The sequence below is a fragment of the Homo sapiens genome, chromosome 17, assembly GCF_000001405.40.
Source record: "Homo sapiens chromosome 17, GRCh38.p14 Primary Assembly".
In the NCBI taxonomy this organism is placed as follows: Eukaryota; Metazoa; Chordata; class Mammalia; order Primates; family Hominidae; genus Homo; species Homo sapiens.
In genome coordinates, this window is record NC_000017.11 from 79473021 (window position 1) to 79490457 (window position 17437).

At 53.6% G+C, this 17437-nt stretch overlaps 1 protein-coding gene across 55 annotated transcripts in view, besides 1 other annotated feature; it reads right to left on the reverse strand.

Annotated features, from left to right (window-relative positions):
* Positions 1-17437, reverse strand: part of RBFOX3 (RNA binding fox-1 homolog 3) — a 576227-nt gene that overhangs the window by 383676 nt on the left and 175114 nt on the right. For 54 of the 55 annotated variants that reach the window (NM_001385807.1, NM_001385838.1, XM_047435405.1 and 51 more), the window contains one exon: positions 9434-9578. The gene's annotated coding sequence lies outside the window, so the exon portion shown is untranslated. The remainder of the gene's footprint in view (positions 1-9433; positions 9579-17437) is intronic. The other variant, NM_001385842.1, reaches the window with a different exon arrangement.
* Positions 507-801: an enhancer, noted in NCBI's record as "tiled region #4769; K562 Activating DNase matched - State 5:Enh". NCBI's record gives its function as "activates a minimal TATA promoter and a strong SV40 promoter by Sharpr-MPRA in K562 cells {active_cell/tissue: K562}" and the evidence as "EXISTENCE:reporter gene assay evidence [ECO:0000049][PMID:27701403]".

Genomic DNA, 17437 nt, shown 5'->3' on the forward strand with positions numbered 1-17437 from the left:
CTTACTTTTGGTTTTTAGAAAACCTATAAAAATAGAATCACTAGAAAAATGGAATAAAGAAGGCATACAAAACACAAAGCCCAGGTTCTTAACGATTAGACTCATCAGACCTAAAACGACTCCTTCAAATGACTAAAAGATTCTAAATGCTTAATTTCAGCTTCTGTACTCAGTTGCAGGGATCAGGAGCAGCACCTCACGGGCTGGCACCCATCCACAGACCTCACTTTGAGTAGCTGAGATATGGGTCATGTGAGACGTGTCCTCAGCCTGTTGCTAGGGAGCTGCTGTGGGTTTGAATTCTGTATGGCCCTGGGTTGGTCATTTATCTGCAGCTCAGCTTCCTCACAGAGCCCGAGTTGGAACTGTTGTGAGGATTCACGATGATTCATATATATTTTGGGACGAGAACCTCGGGTAAGATAACCTGCTCACATGTGTCATTCAGGGACGTCAGCCTGATGGATTTCCAGGCCTTGCATACTGTTCTGGACACTCCAGGCACACAGATGCCTCCCACAAGAAGTTGTGTTACGAGTGTATTATTTGATCTTTGTTGAACTTGGGTTTATCTTTGCTTGCTTTCAGGCCCTCCCATAATGTTGACATCCTGATGAACCCCCGCTGGTGACGGCAGGTGGCCACACCCTGCAAGCTCCCTGTAATTCCAGCCATTACTCAGCAATGCTCAGCAATGCAAGGTCACTCAGAAACACCATCTGTCCAAGCTCCATCTCCCCTCCCACCCCAAAGGAAAAAAGAAAAATTATTCTGTTCCGCCTCCATTTTTCTCCTCCTCCTAAAAGCACACACACACACTCACACACACACACACGCAGAACTAAAGTTAGGCTTGCCTTGACCTCTACTTCTAAATTAATTTTCCTTCCTCAGGCATTTGCTGACGCTCCTTTTCTGTTCTTTCCCCCACAGAACACAGATGTCTTTGAAAGCACCAATCCTGCAAACACTTTGTATATCCTTGCAAATCGGGTAAAAGAATAATTTTCTCCAAATCTATACAAATCCTCACTCGTCCATTCACCTTTGCCATGGAATTCACCGGCAACCCCCTCTGAGGAATGCACGTGTCAATGCAGAAAAAAAAAAAAATGAAGAAATTCCGGAATCACATCGAGGGGCCTCAGCCCCAGGTCCCATCTAAGAATGAGGCCAGCAAGAACCACTTAGGCTCTTGGATGCCGTTGACTCACGTCCCTGGTGGCCCTTGATCATTTTGAATCTAAAACATATGGATTTATACAGATTCATGTGGAACCTTCTCATGTTTCTCCATCCAGAATATCTCTGTGACGATGCAGTCACAAGTTCTGCAGTTACTTCTGTGTGACAGGGTCTGTTTGGATCATGCTTGCACAGGTGTCGATATACCATCCTGGAACACGAGGACTAACCCTCCTTTCCCTCAACGGATGGTGACAATCATTTATTGGCTCTCACTGAAGACACAGCCCTTATCGCTGGGGGACTCAGCATCTCAGAGGAGGATGGGCTGTGCATGCAGAGGGAACACAGGGAGCAAAGTCTGTGCAGAAGGTCACCTCACTCACATTTGACTTTTGTATCCGTGAACTTCAGTGCAGCGTGTACCCAGGATCTATTTTCTGCTTCCATTCCCCCTCATTCCCTGGTGCCATTAGTTCCTTTTCCTAAAGTCCTCATGGGTCTCCCCCAGCCCTGGACTCTTACCTCCACCATCACCACCTGACTCAGTCCCTGCTGCCCGCCCACTGGCCTGCCTCACCACCAGAGCCCCACGCATCACTAACTTCAGCACCCGTGCCCACCCAAAAATGTGTCCACATCCCTCTCTCCCCAGAGGTCTCTTTTTCCCTCTGTTTCTTGGGCCTGACTCCTACCTTTCCTTCCAATTCATTCCTTCCACACCTCAAGAGCCCCCTGGAGAGACCTCACAGGCTCCCCTCTCCTGGCCCAGCTCTACAACGCCTCCCTCTCCCACAGGCAGAGCAAGACTCCAGTTTCTCTCTCCTGTGACAAAAGTGTGCGCCCAAAACTTGCAGCACGAACTGTTTATTTTTAGGTTTAGATTTGGGGTCTGGCTTTTAATTCTTAGTTTGTTCTCAAGTCCGATCTCAGCAGTGGGAGGTGGGAAGTGGGTGGGGGACAGAGAATGATCTCAGCTCATCGTTCCAGGTGCCTCCCTCTCCACTAGGTCTGTGGACGGCCTTCTGACCTGGGGTCCTGGGGTTCTTCCAATGTCCACTCTTACAGCTCCAGTCATTCTGGCCTTGGTTTTACCGCTCAGCCTGCATACCTTCTTATCATTGTCTTAAAATCAGCCAAGGGATGGTTCTTTTCCAGAGCATCTCAGTGTCTGGGTGAGATCAGGGCCGAGGGTCAGGGGACACCTCAGGATGAGTCGTGGGCTGTAGAGTCATAGTGCCTGGGTTCATCTTCCTCCCTGGCAGCCTTGGAGGATACAGTGGGTGGAATCATGTCCCCCCAAAACATGTTCCAGCCCTAACCCCCAGGACCTGGGAATGTGGCCTTAGTTGGAAATAAGGTCTTTGCAGATGTGATGAAGGTAAGAGGTGGGCCCCGATCCAATGACTGGTGTCCTTAGAAGAGGAGGGGAATGAGAACACACAGGTGCACACACATGCATGCGTGCACACATGTACACACACAAATGCACACACACACAGGAAGGTCGTGCGCGACAGGATACACAGGCATGGGGGTGGGGTTGCCTCATGATGATGGAGGCAGAGACTGGACTGACAGTGCATCTATAAGCCAAGGCCCACAGAGGATGGCCAGTGGCCCCCAGAGCCAGGAGAAAGGCCTCCGTGTGTGGGACAGTTTCTCCCTGAGAAGCAACCCCGCTGCCCTCCTGATTTTGGATCCTGGCCTCCAGGAATTGGTGAGAACGAAGAGCTATCGTGAGAAGCCACCCAGTCTGTGGCATTCTGTGATGGCAGTCACGGGACACCGACCCAGATGATCTGAATTTCCAGCCCCACTGGCCAGGCTGACTGTCCTGGGGGCTGCACCTGACACCCTGTGCTCTGGGGGCCACTGACACCCTGAGGACCAGGCCCTGCTGGCTCCTCTCCTTGGATTATTTCCATCTGGGGAGCAGCGGCAGGGCCCTCCCTTCCCGCTCCAGCGCTGGAACTACATCTGGAAGCTCTTCTCACCCTTAATTGTTCTTAATGCTTTAACACACGGAGTGACTAATGGGCTCTAATTGGGAGCGGTGTCCTGGGGAACTCGCCCACAGCGCCCTCTGCGACCCGCCCAGTCTCCTCCGCTGCTCACTCACAGAGCTCTAAAGTCACCAAGGAAAAATATTGGCCCGTTTTTCTATTTTTTTAAAAAATGTCACACCAGTGCCAAAAAGCAGTTTTATCCTTCAGCCAACAAGTATAGGGCAAAGAAAAGGATAGAGGCAAAGCCAAAAGCAGATGGGACAAAATATCACAAATGCCACTGAGGTCTGTGACATCTGTCTAGAGACAAAGAGTTCTTGGAGGCAAACCCCACGCCAGTCAGTTCAGGGCGTGTGAAGGATTCCAGCCACATGTTTCCCCTTGAAGGGGAAAGGAAAGAGGGGATAAGGCATCTCTGATGTCTTCTCATCTCCTCTCCGACCCCTGTGAGGGGTAAGTGGTGACTGCCAAGTCACCAGAACTGCAGAGAAGGAACCAGATGATAGAGAGGATAGGCAGAGGCAGGGTGGCAGAATTAGGGGGTCTGGAAAAGAAAGTGCAGAAAAGCCTGAAGTGCACACAATTCCTCAGTGGGGTGGCGGGGACAGAGAGAGACAGACAGAGACAGAGAAGGAGGAAGAGGAGGGGGAATGAGAAAGGAAAGAAGTAGGGGGAGAGAAAAAAGAAGAAAGAGGAGAAAGAGGAAAAGGAGACGGAAGAGGAAGAAGAAGAAAAGGAGGAGGAGGAAGGTGCTCACCCTGTAACCCCAGCACTTTGGGAGGCCTAGGTGGGTGGATCACTTGAGGTCAGGAGTTCGAGACCAGCCTGGCCAACAGGGTGAAACCCCGTCTCTACTAAAAATACAAAAATTAGCCAGGCGTGGTGGTGGGCGCCTGTAATCCCAGTTACTCGGGAAGCTGAGGCAGGAGAATCTCTTAAACCCAGGAGGTAGAGGTTGCAGTGAGCTGAGATCGCGCCACTGCACTCCAGCCTGGGTGAAAGAGCAAGGCTCCGTTTCAAAAAAAAATAAATAAAGATAAATTAAAAAAAAAAAAAAAAAAAGAGGGCGCGGTGGCTCACACCTGTAATCCCAGCACTTTGGGAGGCCAAGGCAGGTGGATCACGAGGTCAGGAGATCGAGATCATCCTGGCTAACACGGTGAAACCCCGTCTCTACTAAAAATACAAAACATTAGCCAGACGTGGTGGCGGGCGCCTGTAGTCCCAGCTACTTGGGAGGCTGAGGCAGGAGAATGGCGTGAACCCGGGAGGCGGAGTTTGCAGTGAGCTGAGATCGCCCCATCGCACTCCAGCCTGGGCGACAGAGCGAAACTCCGTCACCGGAAAAAAAAAAAGAGGAGGAGGAGTAGGAAAAAAGGGTGAAACAGAAGCAATGGAGTGGGGCCCCAGGTCCTTGTCTCATGTCCTCTTTCTCACAGGGACATCCTCAGAGCTTGCTCTGGTGGTGAACAAGCAAAGGGGCAGGGTGGCAGAATTAGGCAGGATCAGAATGAGGGACTGAAGTGGCTGAGCCTGGCATCCTTCCTAAATATTTTCCAAATACATTTCTTAATAGAAAAGGAATCACAGAAGTTTTTAGGACCCAAGTCTCCAAAGACTGGCTCAAACTAAAGTCTTCTCATTAAAATATTGGATCCAAGAAGGAAATAAGATGCCCCTGTAGGAAGGAGAGACCCCAGCAACGTCCTTCAGCTGGGCACCGCCTGTTCCACCCAGGAGCACCTAGGACGAGCTCCTGCAAAAGGAATGCATTCACTGCAAGCCTGGGAGCAACGTCCCATCCGCTTCTGGTATAACTAAATGAAGCCATGATCCCCCTCTCCCCGCTGCCAAGCAACGCTCATGTGCTCCAGGAAGCCCCACGCACGTTCCCACGGCTCATGCGGGCAGCCTGTGTCTCGGCTCAGCCCTCAAGGGTGCCATGCTCCCCGTGTGATGGATTCCAGTTTAACAGCTTTTAAAAACAAGCAGACAAGAGACGGGCGTGATGGATGAGTGCAGGAAGCACGCTCATTTGGAGATGATTTATGGGAAGTCATGTGTTGCCGCTCATGGGTGCGTCCCTGAGGGTGGGGGCCGGGGTGGATGGATGAGTTTGGATAGTGTAAGCTGCACTACCACGGCAGGCTCACACTCAGCCCCATGGCGTGTGCGGCAGCTCCCGCTCCCATCTCATCACGGCAGGCTCACACTCAGCCCCATGGCATGCGCGGCAGCACCCGCTCCCATCTCATGCTGTCTGCATCAGGGCAGAAGACTTTGTTTATCTCTCAGCTCCAGAACAAAGATGCTCCCCCATCCCCAAAAACATCTAGAGAAGAGACAACCGGCCACATTCCTTGGCTCCTCTGTGTGACCCCAACAACGAACAGCAATGTGGTTTAGGAAAATTCAGGTTATCCCATGAGAGTGGTGAAGGGGAGGGGAAAGGAAGGGAAGGGTCAGGGTTGGAGGAGCAGATGACCCTCCTCTGGAGTTTTTGCTCAGGCCCATCTCTTCCCTGTGGACCTGAAAGACCCATCTGCTCCAGGCCTCAGCCACTGCATGTAACAGACAAATCTCGTTTTGCAGCATCCATGTTTTTAATAAGGACTTAGAATTTACTATACAGTAAAACCCAAATTGAATCCATAGTTAAAGGGATGAGCTTTAAAACGGGATCTAATTGACAGGACCCTTTCCGAGGCAGAGGCAATGAACCAGGGCTGAGGCAATGTCCTAGGAGGAAACTGCTTCCTCCCCACACTCTCCTTTGAAGCAAGGACTCGCCTGCAGTGATGGGGAGTCTCGGTCGAAGGGCTCCTTGCCAAGGCCATTCCTGAATCAGAAAGGCCAGCCCGCCTCACTGGGGCAAAAGCTCCTGCAGGCTTTTCCCTGCCCGGGTTTCTCCATCACTGTTCTCCAAGTCCCTCTTAGGAAGCCCCTTCCTCTAGTCACATTCCTTTGGGCCATGGACGGCATCCACATGCCAGAGCTCTGGTAGCCCAAGGGGTGGTTTTGGCGGCCCCTTCTCTGAAGCCCATGTCCAGGCTGCAGGGAGAACCCAGGAGCTCGCGGGGCAGGAGGGTGTCTACAGGCACACCTGACCTCAGATGTGTGTACATGGCCCTCTTCCTTCAGACACCCGCCATCCACCATCCTGAAGGTGAATAAAAGACAGGCAGAGATTCAAAGCCACACGCAGGCCTCAGACTGCATTGCTCCTTGCTCTGAGGGGCTTCCTCTCAGAGGGGCTTCCTTCTCTCCCCTTGACCTCACCCTTTTAGAAAAGGAAGACTCTGAAAGGCAGATTCCTCACTTCACAATTCAGAGCACACCTTTGGAATCAACAAGGGGCTGGACAGTGAACACACCGAGGGAAGCAGCTCAGGTCCAAAAGAGCTTGTGGGGTGACCCCACCAACCCTGGACTTCCCAGACGCTCCCTCGGGGGTGGGCTGGTCTTGTACTTTCACTGTTGATGACCCCGAGGATTTACCTATTTGGGGGACACAGGTTCTCAGACCCACAGAAAGGTGAGGCTGGGCCCCGCAACCTCCTTCTTGGAGGCAGCAGGAAGTGGCATTTTCAGAGGAGCATGGGAGATGGTGCTACCGTCACGGCCTGCAGGATGTCTGTACGTCAGGGCCCTCCCCTAGGGACAGAGCTGCACGCATCTTCTTGGAACTAGGCGTCTGAGGTTCCAGAGACAGAGCATGATCTCAGGGGGTCTCTCGTCCTGCACTGAGGCCAGCCCCAAACCTCGTGCCCTATACTCATTTTCTCAGACAGCCTGCAAGCACAGTGATCTTGGCACAGAGCGACCTGACCAGGAGCCGTAGTGGATGGCACACCAGTGCTGCCTTCACAGCGACACTGCAGGGAGCCCCAGGACAGAAAGAGCCAGAAAGAGCAGTGGGATTCCTGCCCTCTAAACAGTCACATTGCTGCTTCTCTGTCCCATACAGGCTGGGGTGTGTGGCCTTCCTATCTGGGCTCCCCGAGGGGGCCCCTGATGGTTTACGGAATGGGGTGACAGCCGTTTCAGCAGAGGAGGGGAGTTGTTTAAGGGTTTATCTCAGACATGGGCCCAGATCCACCACTCCTCTCCTCCCGGGTCCATGGCAGAGCCAGTGCTCCCAGGGATAGAGTGCGACAGTGGGCTCGCTCGTCAGCTGTCCCTTGCTTCCACTCTGTCCCCCTCACAGAAGGCAGAGACACCTTTGTATGTCTCAGGCCATTCAATCCCTCACTCAGAGCCCTGCAGTGGCTCCCACCACCCTTAAGACAAAATCCAAAGTCCTCAGTCCCAACCTAAAGGCCTCTGCATCCAGCCCTGGACCCTCTTCGTCATCTCCTTCCTCCACCTGCACAGCCCCCGGACCCCGTGATGCCAGCCCCTCCTGCTACTTCTCCAGCATGCCCACACGTTGCTGCCTCGGCGCCTTGGCACTGGCCATTCCCTCTGTCTGGAACACTCTCCCCTCAGACATCCTGGGGTCCTCCCTCCCTTCCTTCTGTCTTGGCTCACAACATCAGCACCGGGGCCTGCCCTTCTGTCCTGGGCAACTGCAGCCCCCACCATTCCCCGTGGTCTTAATGCACTGCATTTATCTTCACAGCGTTATGGCGCCTGACATACATTTATTCGCCATGTCCCTGCTAAAATATAAACACCATGAGGGCCAGAACTTGACCTTGTCTCCACTGCGTCTCCAGCACCCCAAACAGGGCTCAGCACATCGGGGGCTCAAGGTTGTGGAATGAACAATGTAGGGCAGTCTGGATGGATGAGCTACGGCAAGAAGACCCCAAGGAGCCCTGGAGCAGAGAAGAGCACCCATGGCCTTCACCAGAGAGAAGCAAGCAGTGCACGCCTGGAGAAGCACCCAGACTGTGCATAGAGACTTCCAATTCTGCAAACTCTGGAAAGAGCATCTTTTGATGGGTATTGGAGAGACCAGCCTGTGTCCGGGCCTCTGGTCTCTTTGTCCAGGGTTCTCGTCGGCATCATCTGCTCAGCCTACAGTGGGTCATCATGCAAAGCCTGCCTGCAGGCTTCAGGGCTCCAGTCCTCCCTGCCTGGGGGTCGCTGACCCACAGCTTTGCATTGTCTATCAGCAGGGAATGGGGCTGCACTGAACCTCATGGGGGTTTAAGAAAGAATTCACCTGGTGTCTGTCCCTGGTTCCTGGGAGGTGATCTCTAAAACTGCTGGGGTTTCCAAGGGATAGGAGTGTCTTCTGTTATTCATAAAAAGCCACTCCTGACCACACCTGACCGTGTGCTGACCTGGCAACTCACAGGGACCCGTAGGAAGCTTCAAGTGTGAGGCTGGCCGTGCACGTGATTAGAGGGTTGGAAATTTCACTCCCCACCTCAGGGGAGCAGAGAGGGCTAGAGACAGCTCAGTCACGTGGCTCGGGGAGCTTGCGGTTGGTGAACTTGTGGGTGAACCAGCAGGGTGGTGCATCCTAACACCATGGGGAATGGGTGTGGATGCTCCGAACTCAACCTGTGTGTATCATACGACTGTCATACAACTGTCATTTTTAGTGTAGTGCTTTTTTGTTGCTGTCGTTCTGTGAACTGTAGCAAATTATCAAAACTGAGGGGTCCTGGGAACCTCTGAATTTGCCACTGGTCACAAGTGCAGGTGACCCTGGCAGCTTGCATTCGAAGTGAGAGCCATCTTACAGAGCACTTGGCCCAAACCCTGTGGAGTCTGACGCTGACTCCGGCGGTTAGTGTCAGAGCTGAACGGCAGTCACCCTCTCGGGGTGGGAACAGAGGCATCATGCCGTCCCCTCTAGAGCCACAGGAAGGCTTCAGGGCCCTCCCTGAGCCGCGGAGCAATCTGGGCAGCAGAACACGAACCGTGCAGGGGAGGGTCAGGCCCTGACTTTGGACTCTATGGCATCTTTGTTGACACCAGACAGTGGACCCCACACCCCGCCCACCCTCCTTCCAGGACTAACTGCCCCGCAGCCAGGCTGATGGGCTTCGAGGTACAAAGAGCGGTCACTCCTTAAAAATTCTACCCCATACCTTCTTGGGCGTCCGTCGATGTTCCCCCTCCTACTCCACAAAGACACCATGACTTGAAAGCTATAGAGAGCAGCACAGAACGCCCCTACCCCACAACCCTTGCTGGAAAATCAAATCACCGCATTAAAACGTATTTCCTCCACAAATGCAAACTCTGGGGATGGGCATGGCGGACAGGTGGGGCCGCCTTACCTGGTAGTGGGAGGTGAGGTCTGCTTTGCTGAGCGGGGAGGCCCCAGTGGGGCTCCTTCTGGACCGTCCTTGGCAAGGAGGGGGCTGCTGGGGAGGAGTGGCGACCACAGGAAGACTGTTAGCTTCTCAGAGGCAGAATTTCAACCTGCAGGGGGAAAAAAGCAAGTAAAAAAATTGCCTTTGAAGAAAACATCTTCCTTTTGATCTAAAACAAACATTTGGTATTAATAAACCAGGGAGGGGGCAGCTTCAAAGCCAACTGTTTGCCACCAGGGATCGAGGGATTGAGGGATCAGCACCCTCCAAAGGGCACTTTGCTTTTTATGCCCCAGGGGAGTAAAAGGAAACTTGCAGAAAACACATCATTAGGACCCTATTGCCAAACAGCCACCGTGCAGTCCATCCCAGGGTCCGCCCCTCTCCCAGCCCGCTTGCAATGGTCCCCCAATCCCAGGGACTCTTCCACCCCACCACGCTGGCCCCTCCCCATCGCCTTTCCCACTACCGCCCGCTCTTGCTTCCTCCCCCACCCAGCCTAGATTCCAGGACCCACCACTGTCCGCACTCTCCCAGCTACTTTGTCCCTCTCTTTTAAAAATATTCATCAGATGATGTCACTGTCCTGATCTGGTGACACAGCCTTCCACTGGTGTCCTGTGTCATTTGGAAGAAACACTTAAAGTTGCTTCAGTGGCCTGCAAGCCAGGTGAATCTGGCTTCTGTGATTTGGGGACTTCCTAAGAAAATAACATACGAGGTCTCACATGGGGGCCGTGCGCTCATAGACAGCTTCACGGTCAACCCCCTTTGCCTTTGGGGCTCTCGGCAGTCTGGCTCCCTCTCCTAGTATACTCCCTCTCTCCCCTGCAGCCCCACTGGCTTCCTGGCCATCCCTCCACACAGGCGCATGCCTCCCCGACCCCACCCCTGCACCACACCTTTGCAGGTCTACTGCATGGAATGCTCTTCCCTGCACAATTGCAGGCCTCCCTCCCTCCCTCCCTCCCTGCCTGCCTGCCTACCTGCCTCGGAGCTGTGCACATATGGCACCTTTCCAAGGCCATCCAGGAGCAGAACACCCCATCAAAATAACCAGCATCCCTATGGCATTTCCTTCTCCTTTTCCCCACGAATTTCCCCCCAGGGACTTAGCACATCTGGCTTCATGCGGATGTGCTGGATCCCGCCATCCCACTTTGCCTCCACTGGAATGCAGGCTCCCTGAGGGCAGGCATCCACAACGGCTGGATTTAGTGCTGAATCCCCAGTGCCCAGGATGTGCCTGGCACATAGCTGGGGCTCACTCCGTATTCTTCTGAGTGGATAAGTAAATGAATGAATGAATGAACCCACAAAAGTTACTCCCCCATTAATACTTCTGGGTTTATTTAGAATCATATCCCACGATCACACCGGAGAGCAGGAATTCCCGGGATATGGAGGGGACTGAAGGATTCTGTTTGTTTAGTTGGTGAGGGCTGGCAGGGGGTAGACCCAAGCCTGGGAAGTCTTGTTTGCTTAATTTACTCCAACCCAAACAGTGTATGTGTGCCATCAGCCAGACAGGACACAAAAACGGTTTAGGAGATCCACTCTGATTAGCCTGAGAGACTGTCTCTGGGACAGAGTCATGAGATCAGGGTGGCCAGGGAGTGGCTGAGCTGTGTCTCCCTGAATCCCCCCCACCACTGGCACCACCCAGAAATTTCACAACGGAGTTTTAAACAGCAACACACAACAATAATAAATCTACCAGTTTGTTTCTTTTCCTAAAATCCAGTCACTGGACAGAGTACCACCCCCATACCGAAGAACCGAAGAGCAGAACCAGCATCACAGAGAGCCCAGCAACCCCGGAGCAATGCCTGGGGAACATCTGCCCTTTCAGGGACCATTGGTACAGAGCCCAGTGCCCACTGCTGGGTGTGGGAGCCACTCTTCAATGGCAAAAGTGTAAGTAATAGGAACAGTTCCATGGATGAAATGCAGCCAGGGAGGTGGCTGGGAGAGGGCCTGGGTGCAGGGGGCCTGGGTGCAGGGGCCTGGGTGCAGGGGGCCTGGGTGCAGGGGGCCTGGGTGCAGGGGCCTGGGTGCAGGGGGCCTGGGTGCAGGGGGCCTGGGTGCAGGGGCCTGGGTGCAGGGGGCCTGTGCAGAGGTAGAGGACTCAGGTGGAGGTGGAAGGCAGCCCAGGTTGGGTAGGAAGGGGCTCCAGGAAGGGGCTGGCCTGGTGGGGAGAGAAAGCAGGCGGCAGGCTTCTCTGCGACCTAAGTGCTTGATTCTCAGCAGGAGCACAAAAGGCAAGGGCTAGAACTCACACTGCACCAGGCCCTGGGCAGGGAAGTCCATGGGGAACTGAAGATCTGCACCTAGCCTCCTCTGAGCCTGCTGTCCACACCCCCACAGCCCCAGCTTCCAGCTGTTCCAATGACCGGAGAAGCAGAAGTTTCTGTAAGCCCTCAAGTCTCCCCTGGTCCCCTTGGGGCTTTCAGGGAGATAATAGGATACACTTCTGGTCCTGGAGGCGATTCCCAAGCATTTGCTTTAACTCTCAATATCACCTCCTCCCCAGACAGGGCTCCCAGAGCCAGGATGGAGGCAGGTGGTCCAGGGAGACTCCTGCCCCGCTGCTCTCTCCCACCAGCCCCAAAGCAGAGGCTGCCCAGGGCCTGGGCGAGAGGAGAGCCTGGGGAGAGGCGGGCTGTCTGCCGGGGCTCTCACCCTTCCTGACTTGTCAGTTCTCTTGCCTTTGAGGCGGATGGAGCCCTCCTTCCCAGAGCAGTCCTGGCAGGGGAGGCGCCCACAGGAAGGAATGGAAACAGAGTCCATCCCTGGGGATCCCAAGTCATCCCCTGGGGCCACATGGACACCCATGCTGCCCAGCCTGGCAGCCAGTCCAGGGCCAGGGAACATAAACCCTTGAAGGAGAGGGGGAGGAATTAGAGGGAGCAAAGACAGGGTCGGGAGATGTGATGAAAGAACCCAAGAGAAGCTCCAACCCCACTGCTCCCCTCCCCAGCACAGAAATCTTTAAGTGTCATGCCTGAAACCCAGGCCGCCTTCTCTAGGTGCTGCTCTTGCTCCTCCCCCATCCAGCCTAGATTCCACATCCCCCCAGAGGCTGAGCTGAAGGCGGTGCCCCCAGCAGCCCCACACTTCTCCACCACACCTTGCAAGCCAAGCTCACAGGAGATTATTTCATTTTCATTTTAACTGGTCCTACCCAGCCCTGTCTGCAGCCGCCGGCTTAGAAGATGGAGACACGAGCGATCCACAGGCCGCCGAGTCCGGAGGGCAGGGATCAGCCTCAGGGCAGCCACCCCTGCCTGCGCTCGAGCCTCCTTGGCGCCCCGCACCCCTCCTCTGCCGCCGGCTAGGCGAAGGCGCTGCATCCTAGCCCCACCGATAGGCCCAGCCTGGTTTTGTTTTGACCCGAGCTGAGTGGGAGATAACTTAACAGCTTGTCCCCGATTGTAATGGCATGTTTTTCCCCACTCCGCAGTGGGAAACACCATCCATCATCCATAGCGCAGAACACGGGCCTATGGCCCCCTCCGCGTGCGCTCCTGTACCCCACGCCCCACCCCTTGGTGCTGCGGGGTTTAGGGGACCTCAGGGCTCGCCCCAGGCTTGTGGCTGGCAGAAGGAGTGGAACCACGGTGGGAGGCAAAAGGCCCAGTGACCAAGTACCCTTGACGGCTCTCTAGGCCCCGCAGCCCGGCAGGGTTGGGAGCGTAGTTGGGGGCTGGGCTGGGCTGCAGGTGGCTTCTCAGGGCGCAGTGGCAGGGACCAGGGTGGGCGGGGCCTGGTCGAGGCCACAGCCTACCATTCCCCCACTTCCTGGGGACAAAAGGGTCCAGTCTGTCTCGGGAGTGAGCTGTGTCCTCCTCATTCTCCGACCTGTATTTATTGCCCCTCACCATGCGCTGAGTGCAGTGCTCAGAGCACAGCAGAGCACACAGGGACACCCCACTGTTGACCTTCAAGGGGAAAAGCCCCTGCAGCCTCCTCAACTCCCCTTCTTCTGGGAGGTCAGTTGGGGAATTCTGAGATCCCATCCTGTCCCCTACACACACATATGCGTGCACATATGCTCACATATGCACACGAGCACAGACGGGCCATCCTGGACCCTACCCTCCACCTGCTTCCTCAGGATCTAATCCTCTTGCTTTAATGACAGGGCCCCCAAATAATAAAGGAGTCCAGGGAGAGGCTTAAGCATCCCCAGAAGGCTGGCTATGGGTGGCAGGGCCCCCAGAAGAGCTGGGAAGCATGAGGAGTGTCCTACAAAGGGTGAGGGCTGTGCCCTGGGGCTTGGAGGGGGGCCTCAGTCTCAGAGAAGGATTTTAAAGACTCCTGTGCCCGCATCTGCAGCTGGCCAGTTTCCTCTTCGCAGCTCTCAGCCTGGCTGCTTCAACCTGCTGCAGAACCAGCCAGCACTGCTCCCGAGGCAGCACGAGACTGGGGCAGCCCCTGGTGCTCTGGCCCCAAAAGGTCTCCTCTCAGATTCTTGTCATTGGAAAGAGAAGATAGAAAAACAAACATCTGGACTGCTATAAAGTGTCCTCTATCAAAAAATAAGCAGATACACAAAGGGAGAGGGAGGTAGCAGAAGGAGTGAGAGAGACCGAGGGAGGGAAGAGGAGGGAAGGAAGCCTCTGGGGATGAGGCATGTTCACCCAGCCTGGACAGGGGAAGATTGAGGAGGGCCATGGCAGAGGTGTGGGTGAGGCACACAAGGTAGCTGGAGCAGAAGCCACAGGCAGATAGCCCAGGTGAGATGCACTGGCCAGGCAGAGAGGAGGCTAGGATGGCAGGCCCTGGGCAAGGGCAGAGAAGGCAGAAGTCAGATGACCTGCCCTGGCTGGCCCCGACGACCTTGGACTCACGAGTTGCCTTTGGTCAGAAGCGTGGACTTGTGTTGACAAAGATGCTGCAGAGGCCGGGTGGCGGGGAGGCCAGAAGCAAGGGACACGCACAGCTAGGAAAGAATGTGCTGAGATGGGGGAGAGGAGAGCCTGGCCGAATCACCATCATCATCCTCGTCCTCAGCCCCCCGTCAGTGTTTGCTCACTATCGTGCCCCAGCGCCTGGCCAATGCTGGCACACAGTAGGCGCTCAGCAGTTTTGGTGAAATGAATGCTGCAAAGAAGGAAGTCAATCTGGGTGAGTGGCATGGAGCTGGGTAATGTTTCTGATGAAAATTCCAGCACTTTGGGACGCTGAGGTGGGTGGATCACGAGGTCAGGAGTTTGAGACCATCCTGGCTAGCACTGTGAAACCCTGTCTTTACTAAAAATACAAAAAATTAGCCAGGTGTGGTGGCAGGCGCCTGTAGTCCCAGCTGCTTGGAGAGGCTGAGGCAGGAGAATGGTGTGAACCCAGGAGGCGGAGCTTGCAGTGAGCCGAGATCGCTCCACTGCACTCCAGCCTGGGTGACAGAGCAAGACCCCATCTCAGAAAAAAAAAAAAAAAAATTCCTGGGTGACCTGAACACCAACAAATGGGATCAAGAAGTTGTCACTGATTTGCATCTGACGACGGGATGGTCTTCAGGCTCCTAGAGGTGGGGGTGAGGTGGAATGAACTTCCCATTCTACATGGCAAAGCAAATGAACTCAGCCCACCTAAAACACAGGCACCCCAAGACCCTCACACTCACAGCCTCCTGTGCAGAGAGAGGACAAACAGCCAAGCATACATCCTGGATTTTTTTCCGCACATCTCCAAATAGAAGGCCACACTTGGACTTCAGCATGCAAGGACAGGCTGGGGACATCACCAGTCCCTTATAAATTAAGGCTCATCTGAGGACATGGCTTCATTTATAGGATTTAAGATGAGGCATCACAGAGAGGCAGAAGTGGCCGGTGAGTTGAGGCGGAGCCCCCCATTTCACTACCCCCTCCCCGGGGCCTACTGACAGCAGCACATGGGGGAATGAGACAATGGTCCCCCTCTGGGCAGATGCAGCCTTGCCAGTGCAGGACTTGAATTCTGAGGCTGTTCGTCTTCTCAGAGCATGCTACACTCCATTCTCTGCAACAGCCTGATTGGCATGCCTTGGAACATTCCAGGCCATGGCAAGGGAAAAGCTTGGAGCAGGACCCGCAGGCCTGGGTTCTCCTCCCAGCCCATCACTGTGTGACCTGGGACATCTGAACATCCCTGATCCTTTCCGCATCAACTCACAGGAAGTGTCTACTATGTGGCAGATGCAGACCCAGGTTCCGGACATTCAACAAGGTACACTAGCAACCCCATCCCTGCCCAAAGTGTCTTGGATGTCACCTTCCCTGCCCCCTGTATGAGGCACACAGAAAGAAGACAGAAAGGGCTTTGCACTAAATCACAGCTGCGCTTTCTCCTAATACTCCGAGGAGTCAAATGACCTCTGAAGGCCACCAGAGCCACAGGCCTCTTTGTGATGGTCACACATGGGCTTGTGAAAGAGCCATTTAGGGACATAGCATAGGGGACTCTGAGACCAGGGGCTCCAAAGGAAGGACCCTAAAATCACCAGAAATCAAGTTTGGGTTTTTATAGCATTTTGCTTATCTTTTGTTTTGTTTTGTTTTGTTTTTTAACAAAGATAGCAATATCACCAGAAATATGCTTGCATTCTTATTTGGCTTCCTGGAGGGACTCAGAAAATGGCATTTGCAAAATCTCAGAGGACTCCACTCGCACATTTTAGATTTTACTTTTCTCCCCAAACTACGCCTTTGCTGGTTCATTTTATTGCAGAGAGCGGAACATTTTAGCCTTCTAGTCCTGCCAGAAAGTTAAAAAAAAAAAAAAAAAAAAAAGAATCAGAGTAATGGCAAGGATTTAACATTCTTCATTTATTTTATTTTTTGAGACAGGGTCTCACTCTGTCACCCAGGCTGGAGTGCAGTAACTTGAACACAGCTCACTGCAGCCTCCACCGCCCAGGCTCAAGCAATCCTCCTGCCTCAGTCCCCCAAGTAGCTGGGACTACAGGTGTGCGCCACCATGCCTGGCTAATTTTTGCATTTTTTGTAGAGATGGGCTTTCACCATGGTGCCCAACCTGGTCTCGGACTCCTGAGCTCAAGCGATCCACCCACCTTGGCCTCCCAGAGTGCTGGGATTACAGGTGTGAGGCACTGCACCTGGTCCAACATTCATTTTTTTAAAACCATGGAATTCTCCAAAGGTACTAGAGCTGTGCACCCTCCCAACTGCAGCATTTCCTCAGGGTATGCAGCCCTCTGGAGCTTGCCCGGGGTGCAGTTCCTCAAGGCACTGTTCTCTTTCCTTCTGTTTTTCTTACACTAGCTTCTCCCTGGGTGCCAGTGGTTCTACTTCTGCCATCTTTTCTGGTTAATCCCTCTCATACCTTTCAGGGCTGCTGGCTTTGCTCTCTTCCATTTTCCATCACCCCAATTCCTCCTCAGCCTCTGTACCCCGCAAAACATAAGCTCCTAACCAAAATCAGAGTTTAAAATAGGACTCAAACTAAGAAAGCAAAATTTGCTCTTTCTTTAACCAAGAGAAAAACAACACAGAGCACCTCATTTTAGTAGTAAAGATTATAGGGAATATACAATATTCAGAATAAATGAACCTCCTCCCCCTGTTTTTAAACCACTCTTGTGAAACCAGCTTAATTCCTGGCTCCCCTCATGCCTTCTGAATCCTGTCTCTGGCAAAAATAATTTGGGTTTTATTCTTCTGGCATCTGGTGGGAGTCGGTGACAATTTTACTGTAGCTATACTTCTTCTTTTTTAATACCAGTGTGTTTTAATAATACAGTGTACCTTTTGGTATTGTTGAAATGTTACATTATTCAACGTATCCAACGGGAAAGGGAAAGGCCTTTTGTAATTTATGTGTCCTCAGTGCTGTGTTTAAAGCTTGCAAAGTGGAGGGCTGTAATTTGGGAAGCAATTTTCCCCAAGGTCGGGAGAATGGTTTCTGGAGGAGAGGCTGGAGACTGCCTGACCCGGGTTCAGTGGGGCTGGGGGCCCAGAACCCTGG